At 37.7% G+C, this 17,177-nt stretch overlaps 1 protein-coding gene across 8 annotated transcripts in view, besides 1 other annotated feature; it reads left to right on the top strand.

Annotated features, from left to right (window-relative positions):
• Positions 1-17,177, top strand: part of TOPBP1 (DNA topoisomerase II binding protein 1) — a 61,704-nt gene that overhangs the window by 35,476 nt on the left and 9,051 nt on the right. For 4 of the 8 annotated variants that reach the window (XM_047447355.1, XM_017005636.3, NM_001363889.2 and 1 more), the window contains exons 17-25: positions 2,291-2,414; positions 3,009-3,155; positions 3,273-3,375; positions 6,119-6,311; positions 8,033-8,253; positions 9,140-9,306; positions 9,541-9,652; positions 13,914-14,077; positions 15,325-15,462. In XM_047447355.1, coding sequence (XP_047303311.1) covers positions 2,291-2,414; positions 3,009-3,155; positions 3,273-3,375; positions 6,119-6,311; positions 8,033-8,253; positions 9,140-9,306; positions 9,541-9,652; positions 13,914-14,077; positions 15,325-15,462 — 1,369 coding nt within the window. Of the gene's footprint in view, positions 1-2,290; positions 2,415-3,008; positions 3,156-3,272; positions 3,376-6,118; positions 6,312-8,032; positions 8,254-9,139; positions 9,307-9,540; positions 9,653-13,913; positions 14,078-15,324; positions 15,463-17,177 lie in introns of those variants that run through there. The other 4 variants (XM_047447358.1, XM_011512357.4, XM_047447356.1 and 1 more) reach the window with 3 other exon arrangements.
• Positions 5,793-5,882: an enhancer, noted in NCBI's record as "active region_20553". NCBI's record gives its function as "activates an Ori minimal core promoter by ATAC-STARR-seq in GM12878 lymphoblastoid cells {active_cell/tissue: GM12878}" and the evidence as "EXISTENCE:reporter gene assay evidence [ECO:0000049][PMID:35858748]".

Here is a 17,177-nt window from a genome sequence, read left to right as displayed (position 1 = left end):
ATTTGTCGGGACATTAGAATATCATGCAAGATATGACATAATTATATGTATGACTGTTCCCCAGAATTTCCAGCATCCTGTACCTTACCCACTGCATGCTAGTAGCACCCTCCAACATACAAACACACATTGTAACAACCAAAATCACCCTCACAAATGTCCAAAATAACCCCTGAAGTAACACTTTTGCTGAAACCGCTGATCTAGACCAAGGGTGTATGGGCTGGTTCATCTGTTTTTGTAAGTAAAGTTTTATTGGAATACAGCAATGCCTTTTCACTTACAAATTGCCTATGACTGCTTTCACATACAAGACAAAAGTTGAGCAGTTGCAAAAGAGATTGTTTGGCCTGCAAAGTCTAAAATATTTACTATCTGGCCTTTTAAGAAAAAATTTGCCAAACCCTGATGTAAACCATCTACAACCACTGACAGTCTGTTCTTGAATGGCCTCTGAAGACTGAAACTCATGGTTTCCATATTGTCATAGTGGAGTTGACTGGTAAACCAAATTGATTCAGGCAAAAATACTCCTCTGTTTTTCTGAATTATCTTGATAATATACCACTACGCAGAAAGGGAGACAGTTATTCTGAGAACTAACAAATTAGGCAAGGTGTATTTTTATTGTTATGTTTTAGGATACATGGTCAGTAGGAAATAGAGATTTTTATAATATAACTTAGGAGGCAATAGTACTTCTTACTTCTTTTTCTTAATTCTTTTTTTTTTTTGAGAGGGAGTTTTGCTCTTGTTGCCCAGGCTGGAGTGCAGTGACATAATCTCGACTCACCACAACCTCCACCTCCTGGGTTTAAGCGATTCTCCTGCCTCAGCCTCCTGAGTAGCTGGTATTACAGGCATGCGCCACCACACCCGGCTAATTTTGTATTTTTAGAAGAGATGTGGTTTCTCCATGTTGGTCGACTGGTCTGAAACTCCCGACCTCAGGTGATCCACCTGCCTTGGCCTCCCAAAGTACTGGAATTACAGGCATGAGCCACTGCCACTGCACCCAGCTTCTTAATTCATTTGTCTATTTAAAAAGCTCAGAGATATTCCTTACTTAGAAAATGGAAAATATTAAGTGTCCCTAAGGATAAAATTCTGTTTATTTTGGTGATTGTATTTAGAAATATAATTTTTACCTACCCTTTGGTTTTTACTTGATGTTTCCCAGGTCAAGAGAATATTGAATAGCGGCCGGGCACGGTGGCTCATGCGTGTAATCCCAGCACTTTGGGAGCGCAAGGCGGGTGGATCACTTGAAGTCAGGAGTTCGAGACCACTGCCCAATATGGTGAAAACCCATCTCTACTAGAAATACAAAAATTAGCTGGGTGTGGTGGCGTACGCCTATAATCCCAGCTGCTCAGGAGGCTGAGATAGGAGAATTGCTTGAACCCGGGAGGTGGAGATTGCAGTGAACCAAGATTGTGCCACTGCATTCCAGCCTGGGTGACAGAGTGAGACTCTGTCTCAAAAAAAGAGAGAATATTGAATAGGAAGAATTGGGAGATCATAGCATAATATAATAGTTAAGAGCATGGCTTTTGAAGTCAAAGTTATCTCTATCATTTACTCATTGAGTATCCTTGAACAGGGTACTGAACCATGTCCCTTAGTTCTTTTATCTTTAAGATTAATGTAATAATACCAGTGTTAGGATTGTTGTGAGGAATGGATGAGATAATGATGTGTAAAATATATATAGTCTGTTTTGGGGCATACAATGAATAGTGACTGCCAGCAACTGGAGGGCAAGTTGGATGCTTTGCAATTTATTAATTTGAAATACCTTTATGGTTACTGTAAAAGTGATATTCTTTATAAAAGAAAATTGAAACAATTCAGAAAAGCATAAAGAAGAAAGTAATATTTTAAAGGATATTCTTCTAAACCTCTCTCTGTATTTATATACCTACAGATATATGCATAAAATTTGTCCAAAAAGATAGAGCCTATCATCATTTTTTTAACTGTTTTTTTCTTGAGGCGGGGTCTTGCTGTGTTGCCTGGGCTGAAGTGCAGTGTCTGTTCACAGGGGTGATCATAGCACACTACAGCCTCAAACTCCTGGCCTCAAGTGTCCTCCTGCCTCAGCCTCCTGGGTAGCTGGGACTATAGGCATGTATCACTTGGCTTGAGCCTGTCATTTTAATGGTCTTGTTTACTCTAGTCCGAAAGTTTTGGGAAGGTCAGAATATTCTGTTCACAGTAAATAAGAATCATCTTAAACTAATGAGGATGTTTCTCTTGGTTATTTGTTTTTTTGTATTGGTTATTTCAGGTGGAGTTTTGATGAAACAGTGACTCATTTCATCTATCAAGGGCGGCCAAATGACACTAATCGGGAGTATAAATCTGTAAAAGAAAGAGGAGTACACATTGTTTCCGAGCACTGGCTTTTAGATGTAAGCAGTGCTTTTTTCCCCCCCATCTCTGTTAATTGAAAATGTATACAAACATTATTTCAGAGCACTAACTCAAGAGTTTTCACTCTCAATGGAACTAGAAGCCAGTTTAATAGTCTTGGTTAACTGTACACATTTCAGATCTTTGGCATCAAAAACTTAACATCTTTAGTCCTTAAATACTTAACAAATCTTTAATGGATACTCTTTCTAATTCTCCATTTCCTTGTACTAATTAAAAATGTGATATGAATGGAAAGTTTATAATTATTTGGGGAAAATTTAACATATCAATAGAGTTTAGATCTGTGTTTCTTTTTTTTCCTGGGTATTCTCTGGAGGGTAATTGATACCTTTGCAAAAGCACAGGAATGGTTTCAGATTTTATACTTCAGTGGATATGACATTTAAAACATGAGGACAATCTGTCATTTGTATGATGCAAATTTTTCAGTGTAAACTACTTTTCAAACCAGTTTTGTGAACTTTTTGCCATATTACAGTATAATGTATTGCTTGTCCTTATCCTACTTAACATCATCTATTCATTAAGATTTTGTCAGTCCTGTCTTAAAGCACACCATTGTATTGCAGTGTGCCCAAGAGTGTAAACATCTTCCTGAATCTCTTTATCCACATACTTATAATCCCAAAATGAGCTTGGATATCAGCGCAGTGCAAGATGGCCGGCTCTGTAATAGTCGACTACTCTCAGCTGTGTCTTCAACAAAGGATGATGAGGTAGGAGATATGGATGATACATTTACCCCCTCTTAAGCTAAAGGTATAATCATATATTGCTATGAAACCTTATACAGTGGCTTGGTTTGAGAATTTATAATTTTTCTTTTTCAATAGCCAGATCCTTTGATTTTAGAAGAAAATGATGTAGACAATATGGCCACCAATAATAAAGAGTCAGCACCATCAAATGGAAGTGGAAAGAATGACTCTAAAGGAGGTAAAATATTTTATTTTTTAATTAAAAAAATTTTTTTTGAGACAAGGTCTCAATTTTTTGTGGAGATGGGGTCTTGTCATCTTGCCCACACTGGTCTGAAACTCCTGGGCTGAAAGGATCCTCCTGCCTTGTGAGCCACTGCACCCAGCTGTAAAATATGTTTAAATTACTAAATACAAGCAAAGCATATATTAGAGGATTGATTTGTGGTCCCATGCTGATCATTAAGTGATAATTTGCAAAGTTTTATGTAGTTTAAGTGTAAAGCTTATGAAATTTATGAAACTAGGTTTTTATGGAGTTAGTGTGATACAGCCCTATTCCATTAAAGGTAGGTGAAGTTGGTGATTTTTTAAAAATCTAGTCTTTGGTCCAGTTCTTTTGAGTGATTTTCAAAAAGTTTTCTTATATGTACAATATATTTTAACATATCCACATGGTTTTAAAGATACAAAAAGACATATGAAGAGTTTCTTCCACCCTTATTCTCCAGCCCCCCAGTGTTATTAGTTCCTTATGTATCCTTCTAGAGCTGCTTTATGCATATATAGCCGTAAATATGTTTTTCCCCCATTAAAAAAAAACAAACAAACACATAGGCTGGGCATGGTGGCTCGTGTCTGTAATCCCAGCACTTTGGGAGGCTGAGGCAGGCAGATCACCCAAGGTCAGGAGTTTGAGATCAGCCTGGCCAACATAGAGAAACTCCGTCTCTACTAAAAATACAAAAAATTAGCCGGGCATGGTGGTTGCATGCCTGTAATTCCAGCTACTCGGGAGGCTGAGGCAGGAGAATCGCTTGAACTCGGGAGGCGGAGGTTGCGGTGAGCCGAGATCATGCCATTGCACTCCAGCCTGGGCAAGAAGAGCAAAACTCTTGTCTCAAAAAAAAAAAAAAAAAAAAACATAAATGGTGGACTACTATACATGCTATTTCATACGCTGATCTTTTTGTTACCTTGGGTAGTGTTTTATATCAGTAGATAACTAGGAGCTTCTTTAGTCTTTTTCTTTCTTGCTTTTCTTCCTTCCTTCCCTCCCTTTCCTTCCTGTCCCCCTTCCTCTCCTTTCCCTCTTCCCTTCCTTTCCCTTTCCTTCTTTCTTCCCTTTTCTTTCTTTTTGGGCAACTGTATTGTATTCATTATGAATGGTCCCACTTTGTTTAGGCATCCATTCTTAATAGGCATTTAGGTTATTTCTACTTTCTTGCTTTTATAAATAGTACTGCAGTGAATAACCTTATACATGGATGTCTTTTAATAGATTTAATATGTTCTGTTTTCCTTACTCATTCTAACCTACCAAAGCTTTCCCTATGACTTACCTATTTGGTTAGTCTCACTCTGTTCATTCCAAATGCATTTATTTAATACTTACTCCAGAGTTTAGGCTTTAAAGAAAACCAAAGGTAAATACAGTTGTCTTGTCCCTTGGTATCCATGTGGCAGTGGTTCCGAGGACTTACCTCAGGTACCAAAATCCACAGATGCTTAAGTTCCTTATGTATAAAATGACATAGGATTTGAATTTAACCAATGCACATCCTCCTGTATACTTTAAATCATCTCTGGATTACTTATAATACCTAATGCACTGTAAATGTTTTGTAAATAGTTATATTTTATTTTTTTTACTGGTACTTTTAATTGTGATATTTTTCATTTTTATGTCTTTAAAATATTTCTGATCCATACTTGGTTGAATCCATGCATGCAGAACCGGTGGATGTGGAGGGCTGGATGTATGTTGTGGTCTGTGTTTTCAAGAGCCTTTGGGGAGTCTGGGCACGGTGGCTCACACCTGTAATCTCAGAGCTTTGGGAGGCAAAGGCAAGAGGATTGCTTGATGCTAGGGGTTCCAGATCAGCCTGGGCAACATAGTGAGACCTTGTCTCTACAAAAAATTTAAAAAATTAGCTGGGCGTGGTAATGTACACCTGTAGTGCCAGCTACTCAGGTTGCTGAGGCTGGAGGATCACTTGAGCCCAGGAGTTAGAGGTTATAATGAGCTATGACCATACCACTGCAGTCCAGCCTGGGCCACAGAGCAAGACTCTGTCTCTAAAAAATTAAAAGAATCTTTGGGAAAAATCAGACACATACACAAATGACTATAAGACATCTCAGAGTGTAGTACATACCATGAGAGTCAGAAGCAGGCAGGGAGCTTTACAGAGGGATAATCACTACAGGTCTTGATGAAATGTCTTTGAAGGGGGCCAGGCACGGTGGCTCATGCCTGTAATCCTAGCACTTTGGGAGGCTGAGGTGGGCAGATCACCTGAGGTCAGGAGTTCAAGACCAGCCTAGCCAACGTGGCGAAACCGCGTCTCTACTAAAAAATACAAAAATTAGCCCGGCATGGTGATGGGCACCTGTAATCCCAGCTACTTGAGAGGCTGAGGCAGGGAGAATTGCTTGAACCTGGGAGGTGGAGGTTGCAGTGAGCCGAGGTCGCACCACTGTCCAGCCTGGGCGACAGTGCTAGACTATCACCAAAAAAAAAAAAAAAAAAGTATTTGAAGGGCTTCCTAGTTATTTCATATACAGTGCTTGTGGTAAGGGCTGCTTTTTATGTTCTGCAGTATTCATAGTTTTAGTACATTACTATAGCCTGTAGTTAATATTCAGTAAATGTCAAGTCAATAAGTTTGTGTTCAACCAGGTCTAAACAAAATAGTTAATGTAAGATATGGTAAAAAAGAGGAACTTACCTTGAATGGTGTATTTGTGTTTGTTTCAAGTTCTGACACAGACCTTAGAGATGAGAGAGAACTTTCAGAAGCAGTTACAGGAGATAATGTCTGCAACATCAATAGTGAAACCCCAAGGGCAGAGGACTTCCCTTTCAAGAAGTGGTTGTAACAGCGCATCTTCAACCCCTGACAGCACTCGCTCTGCTCGCAGTGGACGAAGTAGAGTCCTAGAGGCACTGAGGTGTGTACCTGTCACTGATGGCAGAAAGACTAGATGACTTGAGAGAAAGGATTTACGTACCTGCTGCTGACTCAATTCCATGAGCTTGGCCTAATTTAGCTTTTTTTTCTTTTTTTCCCCAATATGCAGTAAAAGCTGAAATTTAAATATCAAGACTAGTGAAGGGGTTATATGCCTAGGCCTTATTTAGCCCAAACAGTAAATATTATATTCCAGTATTATCTATTGCTTTTGGCTCTCTGCTGACTAGATTTTTCGTTCTAGCTTGTCCTTCCATTTCTTGCTCCCAGCAGTTCTAGATTTCTTACTCGGAGGTGGAGCAGACATGGAGATTTGTCTTACAGCAGCACCTGCTTCACAGTGAGGCATGATTGATACTTTTTATTACCTCCGTTGAGAAAGAAATGATTTTAAGATCTAATTTGCCTCATTTGAAATGGATTCAGTAGGCAGTTCTCTCTGCTCTTTAGTATTAGTATTCAATAGTATTTGTATTAAACAATAAGTACATATATATTTTTTCAGAGTCTTTTTCTAATGCAATATGTAAAATCTTAAAGTTATTTTTGTTGGGATTTTGCATGCATTTTGTATTCTCCTTGTAAAATTTATCTTCTAGAAAAGGTGATTACAGTTTCTAGTGTGATGTGACTTAAGCTCAGTTGCATAACTTCATCTTTTTCGTGATAGAAGAAAAAAATCTATAATTGTGTGATAAGAATTATGGGACTTGTATTTTCAGTTGACTAATTGAATTAAGTATAAGATAAACTAGCATTTATCTTACGCTAACTGTATTACATGAGGCAGTTCATTATCTCAGTACTGAGTAAAGTAGCTTTTTAATATGCTTCAGATCATGTTTTATCATTATAGAGAACCTAAATCCTGTACCAAATCAGAGTAAATAAATATAGTGTGAGAATAAAAGGCTATATTCTTTATTTTTGAAGCAAAGGAACTATTTGGGGGTTCCTTTGGTAAATTGTTTTATGGGTTTTGGTGTTTTGTTTTGTTTTTTGTTTTTTGTTTTTTTTTTTTTTGCTTCTCCACAGTGTAAGTTTTATGGTAAATTATTTTTACTAAGAATGAATGAATGAGTGAATATAAAGAAAATTATAGGACTTCTATTTACTGTCACGTGGAATCATTACAATCGCACCATAAAATGCACTTCCCTGTAATTCAGCATATTGCTGTTCCACCGTAGACTCTGGAAAGTGGTTACCAATAGCCAAAAGGCCCTTCTGATAAGGCAGCCTTTACAGCAAGCCTCCCATGTAATCATAGTGCTTATAATTTCAAGTAATTAAAAAATATAACTACTGTTAAGTAAAGTAACCATAGTGTTTGAAACATTACCCTGTTTCCCTAACCTGTATAATTAAGGAAAATCACATTTTTAAATGTACCAATTACTTTAGTATTTTTAAAAAATTTCTTGACACTGTTGAATTTCTCCTTTGAAGTTTTAGTTCTGTAGACATGTAGTCAAAATATGTGTTCCTAGCTAAAACAGATAACTTTTCTGGAAGAAACCTTAAACCTTTTTAAAAAAAAAAAATGTCCCTAGGTTCATTTATTTAATATTTTTAATGCATACTGTGTGCTAGATGGTGGGCATATAAAGGTGAGCCACAACTTTTATGGTCTAACTTATGGATTTAATGAGTTTGGATTTGTTATTGCTGTTTATTTAAACTGTCACTTCTATTCCTTAGGCAGTCTCGTCAGACAGTACCTGATGTCAACACAGAGCCTTCCCAAAATGAACAGATCATTTGGGATGACCCTACAGCAAGGGAGGAGAGAGCAAGGCTTGCCAGCAATTTGCAGTGGCCTAGTTGTCCCACACAATACTCTGAGCTTCAGGTTGACATTCAAAACTTGGAGGATTCTCCTTTTCAAAAGCCTTTACATGATTCAGAAATTGCTAAACAGGGTAACAAGAAAGAAATCTTTGCATTTGTTTGTATTAAGTACATGTTGACCTCTTAAAAATAAACAGATGAGCATGTTGTAGTTCTCTGATCTGAATGTGCAAACAAAAAAAACTTCGTAGATATTTCTGGTTTTGGTTTAAACTTGAGCCAGAAAAATAATTTGTAAATTGAGGTACTTCATCAGTAAATTGAAAAACATTTTCATAAATTTGGAAATTTAGAATTGGGCGTTTTTTTCTAGACATGGTGTCTACCATTGTTCTTTTATTCTAGCTAACCCTTTTTGTGTTTGTGGAGTTAATGCTTGGTTTTTCTTCCTATCATCTTATTTTCATTTAAGTCTTTTGAATTCTGCCTAGCACATACCTACATTTGTTCTTTGGATTGTATGAGTTTCTTTCTGAATTCTCCTATTTTTTTTCTTCCTTGAGCTTTACCTTAAAAACAAAATTTTCCTATCTCTCATCTTTTTTCTTCCTTTTCTTCTTTTTCACATTGCATGATGACCTCCCATTAGATATATAGATTTATCTCTGCTTCTGCTTTTCTCCAAGTGTAGAATTGCTCTCATGTTACAAATTTGGGTTACACTTAACAATGAAAACTTGGTATTTAAGGAAAATGTTGGGAGAAGCCCACAGATAACACACTTGCTCTGTTTAATGCTAATAAATTGCATTTTTTCTTTATTGTTATTATTGTCACATGCAGATGGGATGCATTTATTTATAAGTTCTGGGGATAGGATACTTTTTTGCCTGTACTTTTTACATTCCAGAGTTTGTGCTTGACTTCATCTTGACTAAGACAGATGAGAATATTTCCTAGAATTTGTTTTTAGTCTTATTTGGATCCTGTCACACTGCAGCATTTTATTGTCCTCAGCTGTCTGTGATCCTGGAAACATACGTGTGACTGAAGCTCCCAAACACCCAATCTCTGAAGAACTGGAAACTCCCATAAAAGACAGCCACCTGATCCCTACGCCTCAAGCCCCCAGTATTGCCTTTCCACTCGCCAACCCCCCTGTGGCTCCGCACCCTAGAGAAAAGGTTTGTTGATCCTTAATATGGTGATACAGCTTTTGCATACTGCTGTTAGGCTGTATTAGAAATTTGTTGATGTCAATATCAAGGCTTCATCAAATGTTGAAAACTATTTTTTGCATTGTATCATTATTTGTATATTTCATAACTTAGAAGACTGAGTAAAATACCACTATAAAAGAACTGTGTATCTGATCATTTTTAATGTTAATTTTTTCTAAAGTAAAACTTTCATTCCAGATTATAACGATAGAGGAGACTCATGAAGAATTAAAAAAACAGTACATATTTCAGTTATCATCTCTGAATCCTCAAGAACGTATTGACTATTGTCATCTGATTGAGAAACTAGGTACCAGTATTTTACTTAAATCCAAAATGTCCCATATAATAACCATATTTGGAAGTCAAATGTAGTCAATATTAATATCATTTGTAAAGTCTAGAAGTAGAGGAAAAGAACATGGGTAACTTGTCTAAGGCTATACATTGAGTCAGCATTGGAACTTTGATTTTAAAAAGCTCTAAAGTCAGTAGATCATGGGATTTAAAATTCAAATGGAATCTAGCAGTTGAGGTTTAAGAATCTTCTGTGCTGTTTGACTATTCATTCACTAATGAAGCTTTAAAGACTTACTATATAAATAAAACCACATTTTAATGAACTTGAAAGGTTAATAATATCTAGAGAGGAGCTCCCTCTTGTTTTTTTGTTTGTTTGTTTCCAGTTAGAAACAGTGTGGAGGCCAGGCACGGTGGCTCGTGCCTGTAATCTCAGCACTTTGGGAGGCTGAGGTGGGCGGATCACCTGGGGTCAGGAGTTTAAGACTAGGCTGGCCAACATGGTGAAACCCTGTCTCTACTAAAAATACAAAAAAATTTGCGAGACGTAGAGGCACATGCCTGTGATCCTAGTTACTCAGGAGGCTGAGGCAAGAGAATCGCTTGAACCTGGGAGGCGGAGGTTGCAATGAGCCAAGATAGCGCCACTGTACTCCAGGCTGGGTGACAAAGCAAGACTCTGTCTCAAAAAAAAAAAAAAAGGGAAAAGAAAGAATTCAGTGTGGAAGAGAGCTCCTTCTTATGTAACATTATTCTTATTCCACTGGTTGTCAGGCTCTCCACCTGACATCATTCTAGAAGCAGCATAGTAAAAGAGCAATCTGGTATACTAGAGCAGCACTGTCCAATAGAAACAGAATGTGAACCACATAGGTCATTTTAAATTCTCTAGTAGCTGCATTTTAAAAACTAAAAAGAGGCTGGGTGCATTGGCTCACACCTGTAATCCCAGACTTTGGGGGGCTGAGGTAGGAGGATTGCTTGAGCCTAGGAATTCAAGACCAGCCTGGCAACATAGTGAGACCCCATCTCAAAAATAAAAAGTAAAATGAAACAAGTGAAATGAACTTTAAACATATATTTATCATTCAATATGTGATCAGATAAAATATCAGTGAGTTTTTTTTTATATAAAGTAAAAATCTAGTGTTTATTTAACTTACAGCACATCTCAATTTGGACTAACTGTGCTTCAGGTGTTTGATAGCCACAGATGTCTAGTGGCTACTCTGTTGAACAAAGCTCTATAGAGTTAGGAAAACTATAGTAAGAGAAGTTAATCTGGCAGCTCAGCATGGAAAGAGAAAACATTAAGAAATATTGGTGGGGTTTTTTTGTTTTTGTTTTGAGACAGAGTCTTGCTCTGTCTCCCAGGCTTGAGTGCCATGGCACAATCTCAGCTCACTGCAACCTCTGCCTCCTGGGCTCAAGCAATTCTTCTGCCTCAGCTTCCCAAGTAACTGGGATTACAGGTGTGCGCCACCACGCCTGGCTAATTTTGTATTTTTGTATTTTTAGTAAAGACAGGGTTTCACCATGTTGGCCAGGCTGGTCTCGAACTGCTGACCTCAGATGATCCACCTACCTTGGCCTCCCAAAGTGCTGGGATTACAGGCATGAGCCACCGCACCTGGCCAAAATAATGGTTCTTAATAGTGGCCCTGAAGTATCAGGAAAAGATTAAATGTTATTTAATGCTGTCTTTTTAAGAATGTGGAAAACTATGATATGCTTTAAAAAAAAAAAAAAGATTTATGTCAAATACAGTTGTATACTTGGAAAAACTTTCTCTTTTTTTTGCGGGTGAAGCTCACAGCTTTATTTTTTTTTATTTTTTTATTATTATTATTATACTCTAAGTTCTAAGGTACATGTGCACAACCTACAGGTTTGTTACATTTGTATCCATGTGCCATGTTGGTGTGCTGCTCCCATTAACTTGTCATTTTCATTAGGTATATCTCCTAATGCTATCCCTCCCCCCTCCCCCCACCCCAGGACAGGCCCCGGTGTGGAAAAACTGTTTCTTCTTAGAAACTTTACTCATACAAAACACTTTGTTTCCCAGTTCCCTGATAACTTAGGTGAGGTTATAAGTCAGAATTGCTAAGCTTTACCCAGAACTCATGAAAATGAAAGGCTTCAAGTGTCAGTCTCCTATAGATTTTTCCATCTCTGCAAACTTTGGGGAAGAGTGACAGCAATTAGCAGAGAATTGATCTAGAAGAGGGCAGGAAGCAGAGGCAGATGAGTACAGATTATGTTGGAATTCAGAGTCTTGTAACTCTAGAGGTTTTCCAATATTAGAATGCAAAGAGACATTATAATAGATATTATGCCCAATCCTTCATTTTATAAATGAAGCAACTGTGGCCAACTGATATATATGTATATAAATCAGTCTATTATGTTGTCTGGGTCGCAGAATAAGTTTGTTATGTAGAATTGGAAATTGATGTTTATATATTAATATGGAATTTTACCTTCTTGTCTTTTTGTCACTCTGTGATCCTGAGTAAGGTGCTCTACCAGTTTTCATGTGCATAAATGCAGATAATAATAGTAACCTTCCTTCATATGGTTGTGAGAATTAAATGAGTTAGTAATCTGGAGCACTTTAAGTAGTTCCTGGCATAAAATAAATGCTCAGAAGGTGTTGCTGCTATTATTATTAGAGTCATCTTAAATCATGAGTTTGAATGTTTTGTTAAAATCTTAGAAAGTCCTTGATATGACCGGGTGTGGTGGCTCACACCTGTAATCCCAGAACTTTGAGAGGCTGAGGTGGGCAGATCATGAGGTCAGGAGTTCAAGACCAGCCTGGCAAACATGGTGAAACCCCGTCTCTACTAAAAATACAAAAATTAGCCAGGTGTGGTGGCGGGCACCTGTAATCCCAGCTACTCAGAAGGCTGAGGCAGAGAATTGCTTGAACCCGGGAAGCAGAGGTTGCAGTGAGTCGAGATCGCGCCACTGCACTCCTGCACTCCAGCCTGGGTGACAGAGTGAGACTCCGTCTCAAAAAAAAAAAAAAAAAAAGTCCTTGATATAACTAACTCTGCCCAACCAGTGGTCAAGTTAACCTCTAAGCTATAAATCAACAGCCATGCTTTACATAAGCTTATGTTTACTTATGCCTTCTTCTTTCCTCAAAGTCAGGCTTCATGCATTTATATCTGAGAAGAGGTTCAATTATTGCTTTTTCCCACCTGCTGCTTCATCTCTTATTTATCTGTGTGTGTTTTCTTCCCAAGCTTCTCTGTTGGTCTGCCGACATTATTTCCACTCATAAAAAATTTCCTCCTGTTTTAAAGTCTGCAGATGCCCCTATCTTACTTCCATCTCCCTGGTTACCCATATTCGGTGCTTGAAAACTGCTTTTGTAATTGAGACTTAAGAGACATAACCAACTACAGCGTGTGGCTCATGTTTATGTTCTATTTCTTTTTGTATCCTAATTATAACAATCCAAGTGAAGACAAACAGGAAAAATTGAACAAGGATTTAGTACTGAGACAGCAAAGAATCTTTGTTAATCCTATTAGATCTGATAATGGCATTATGGCTGTTTAAGAAAATTTCCATATATTCTAGAGATGCATACTGAAATACTTAGGGGTCAGTAACATGGTATCTAGAATTTGCTTTAAAATAGTTAAGCAGGACCAGGCATGGTGGCTCACGCCTGTAATCCCAGCACTTCGGGAGGCTGAGGCAGGTGGATCATTTGAGGTCAGGAGTTCAAGACCAGCCTGGCCAACATGGTGAAACCCTGTGTTTACTAAAAATACAAAAATTAGCCAGGCCATAGTGGTGTGTGCCTGTAATCCCAGCTACTTGCGAGGCTGAGGGAGGAGAATCGCTTGAGCTGGAGGTTGTGGTGAGCCAAGATCATGCCACTGCACTCCAGTCTGGGTGACAGAGTGAGAACCTGTCTCAAAAAAATTAAAATTAAAACAGAATAAAATTAAGTAGTTAAGCAAAAAAAGGTGGCAGAATTTGGATAATTTTAGAATATAGGTAGCTAGTATATGTGTGGGGGTTCATTTTACTATTTTATTTACTTTTGTATTTAAAATGTTCATAATAAACATTTTAATACATATATATATGTATATAAAGTAAAATAATTCTAAGTAAGTCAAGTTTTTTTGGTTTAAATGGTTTGGGGCATTTTATTTATAAATAATTTCTATGCGTAGTTGAGATTACATTTTTCCTAGAAAGAAGTTGGGAATCAATAAAGTACAATCCATTTTTCTCTGCTTAAGGTGGATTGGTGATAGAAAAGCAGTGCTTTGATCCCACCTGTACACACATTGTTGTGGGACATCCACTTCGAAACGAGAAGTATTTAGCCTCAGTGGCAGCTGGGAAGTGGGTGCTTCATCGCTCCTACCTTGAAGCCTGCAGGACTGCTGGACACTTCGTGCAGGTGTGTATTCAGATTTGTGGAAGTTTATTTTTCTTTAAAAGCAAGTGTCCACCGGGTGCAGTGGCTCACACCTGTTATCCTAGCACTTTGGGAGGCCGAGGTGGGTGGATCACCTGAGATCAGGAGTTCGAGACATGCCTGGCCAACATGGTGAAACCCTCTCTACTAAAACTACAAAGATTAGCCAGGCATGGTGGTGAGTGCCTGTAATCCCAGTTACTCAGGAGGCTGAGGCAGGAGAATCACTTGAACCCAGAAGGCAGAGGTTGCAGTGAGCCGAGATCATGCCATTGTACTCCAGCCTGGGCCACAAGAGTGAGACCCTATCTAAAAAAAAAAAAAAAGTAAGTGTTGGCTGGCAGTGGCTGGCTCATGCCACTTTCAGCACTTTGGGAGGCCAAGGCAGGAGGATGGCTTGAACCTAGGAGTTCAAGACCAGCCTGGGAAACATAGCAAGACTCCATCTCTAGAAAAAATAAAAACAGTTAGCTGGGCATGGTGGTTCCCATCTGTAGTCCCAGCTACCTAGGAGGCTGAAGTGGGAGGATTGCTTGAGCCCAGGAGGTCAAATCAAGACCCTGTCTCTAAAGGAAGAAACAGACAAATTTATTTATTTACTTAAAAAAGTAAATCTCAGATTTCATCACATTTGCTGACTGCTCATAAAATTGAAATAACCAAATATGGCCAGTTAGAGTATACCAGCTTTTTCAATAACAAAGCCAAACAACGAAACTTCGCAGAGCCAGGTTCACCTTTAATCACTTTTTAAATGATTTAATTTGAATGTTAGTGTTGTTTTTAATTGAAATAACATTTTCTTAGAAAGTTTCAAGATTATCTCATTGTAAGCTTTCATCTTTACTACATAGACAGATAATCAAGTTATCAGTACATACCTCCTCTGAGACTGTGTCCTTTCATGAAGTTAGTCTTACAGCAGGTGAAATTTGTCCATCTGAATATTACCAGTTGCCAAGATATAGCTATCATTTTGTTTCTTAAAAATGTATGTGGTATTTTTCTGATTTCTAATTAAAAGCCAAATATACTTGACTCTTATATGAAACTAATCTACATTTCCTCCATGCTCATAAAACAATATTTACTTAGTACTGTCTGTATTTGTAACAATTAAATGTATAGCTTTAACAGTTATTAGACTTTGGGCTCCTTGAGGAGCCCTGTATGTTGCACAGTGGCTCCCCAGACTGTAACAACTCAGGTTTGTTGGACAAATTCTCTAGGAAGAAGACTATGAATGGGGAAGTAGTTCCATACTTGATGTTCTGACTGGAATCAATGTACAGCAACGAAGACTAGCACTTGCAGCAATGAGATGGAGAAAAAAAATCCAGCAAAGACAAGAATCTGGCATTGTTGAGGTATTAAAACACAATTATATAGGTAATACAAATAGCATTCAATATTGTGACTCTTTCACATTTTTTTTAAAAGAGAATGTGCTTCAGGAAATAATGATTCTACTTGTCTTTTTTCCCCAAATTTTTGATGGCTCTTTTAAAAATAATTTATATATGTAAAATGTGGCCCATATTGCATTTCTTCCAAAGAATCTTTTCAGCATCTAATGTCAGGGGTTCTTGACCTGAGTCCACAGACCTTCTCAAAGGAATTTGTAGATCAAATCTGGGAAGGCCATGTACTTTGCATGGGGAGAAAAATACATCCTTATTTTTACTAACCTCTAATTGAAAATTAGCACTTCCGGTCTTTTTTTTTTTTTTTTTTAAATTTTAATCAGCCTACATCATGCTTTGAGAAAACTAGCACTTCCTTTAATGAAAGGTCTAGGCAACAAATCACAACACTATCAACTGTACCTGTAATTTTGCACTAACAGAAATCACATGTTTCTGTTTTGCATTGTAATTGCAAGCATCTTGAAATACTGTTTGTGTTCATCAGTACTTTAGTTATTTATATTATTTGTTAACTGTTGATTTATCAAGAGAAACTATTAGGCCACATGTTCATGTTTCATAGTTCAGGAACACAAGTCAAAGACAAACTTCTGTGTATTAATGATTCAGTCCAAAGAAATTCTTTATATTCCAAAATCACTTTGCACTCTGAAACATAATAGCACTCTTCATCTCAGATTCTTTCATGGAATCATAACTTCTGTAGAAATCAGCATGTCCTTTCTGTTTTGGTTCAGCCACAGCAAACAGAGAGCTGCAACCCCAGGGATATAAGGAATGCTCCCACAATATGAAATCACAGACACTTGGCCAGAAGACCACATATCTGAGGTTTTGTCAAAGCACTGAAAGCCATATTAGTTATTGTCTGCTACTTTAATATAAAGCACATCTATAATTACACAACAAATTTGTTTTTAATATTTTGATAACTTTCAATAAAATGGCTTCCTTTTGTAATCCTTTATATTTTAATTTTAACATTTTCTAAAAATCACCCATAAGGTTTGGGAATTATATCTCAATACAGCTATTATTTAGAGTAGTCTAATGACCAGACTGCCAAAGGGATCCATGGCTTACAAAAAGGTTAATTGTATTAGTTCGTTCTCACGCTGCTATGAAGCAACACCTGAGACTGGGTCATTTATAAAGGAAAGAGGTTTAATTGACTCACAGTTCCACATGGCTACAGAGGCCTCAGGAAGCTTACAGTCATGTAAGAAGCAAACACGTCCTTCTTCACATGGTGGCAGGAGAGAGAAGTGCAGAGCAAAGTGGGGAAAAACCCCTTATAAAACCATCAGATCTCCTGAGAACTCACTATCAGGAGAACAGCATGAGGGAACTGCCCCCACCATCTGATCACCTCCCACGAGGTCCCTCCCCCAACACTTGGAGATTATCATTCGGATTACAATTCAAGATGAGATTTTGGGTGGGGACACAGCCAAACCATTATCAGAACCCCTGAGTTAAATAGTCTTTCATGTTGTATTCTAAGTTCTCTGATATCTCCAAATCCTTATTAGCCATGATACCCTCTCTTTTAGAGTAATTCCACTGGCTTTTGTTAGTTGTTATTCCCTTCCTAAATATTTTGTTTCCAGTTTGTAAACATTTTTAAGAGAAGTGAAACGCAGGCTTCATCTAAC

This window comes from Homo sapiens, chromosome 3, assembly GCF_000001405.40.
Source record: "Homo sapiens chromosome 3, GRCh38.p14 Primary Assembly".
Classification (NCBI taxonomy): domain Eukaryota; kingdom Metazoa; phylum Chordata; class Mammalia; order Primates; family Hominidae; genus Homo; species Homo sapiens.
Note: the sequence above shows the minus strand (reverse complement) of the source record. Positions and strands in the feature narration are given on the sequence as shown.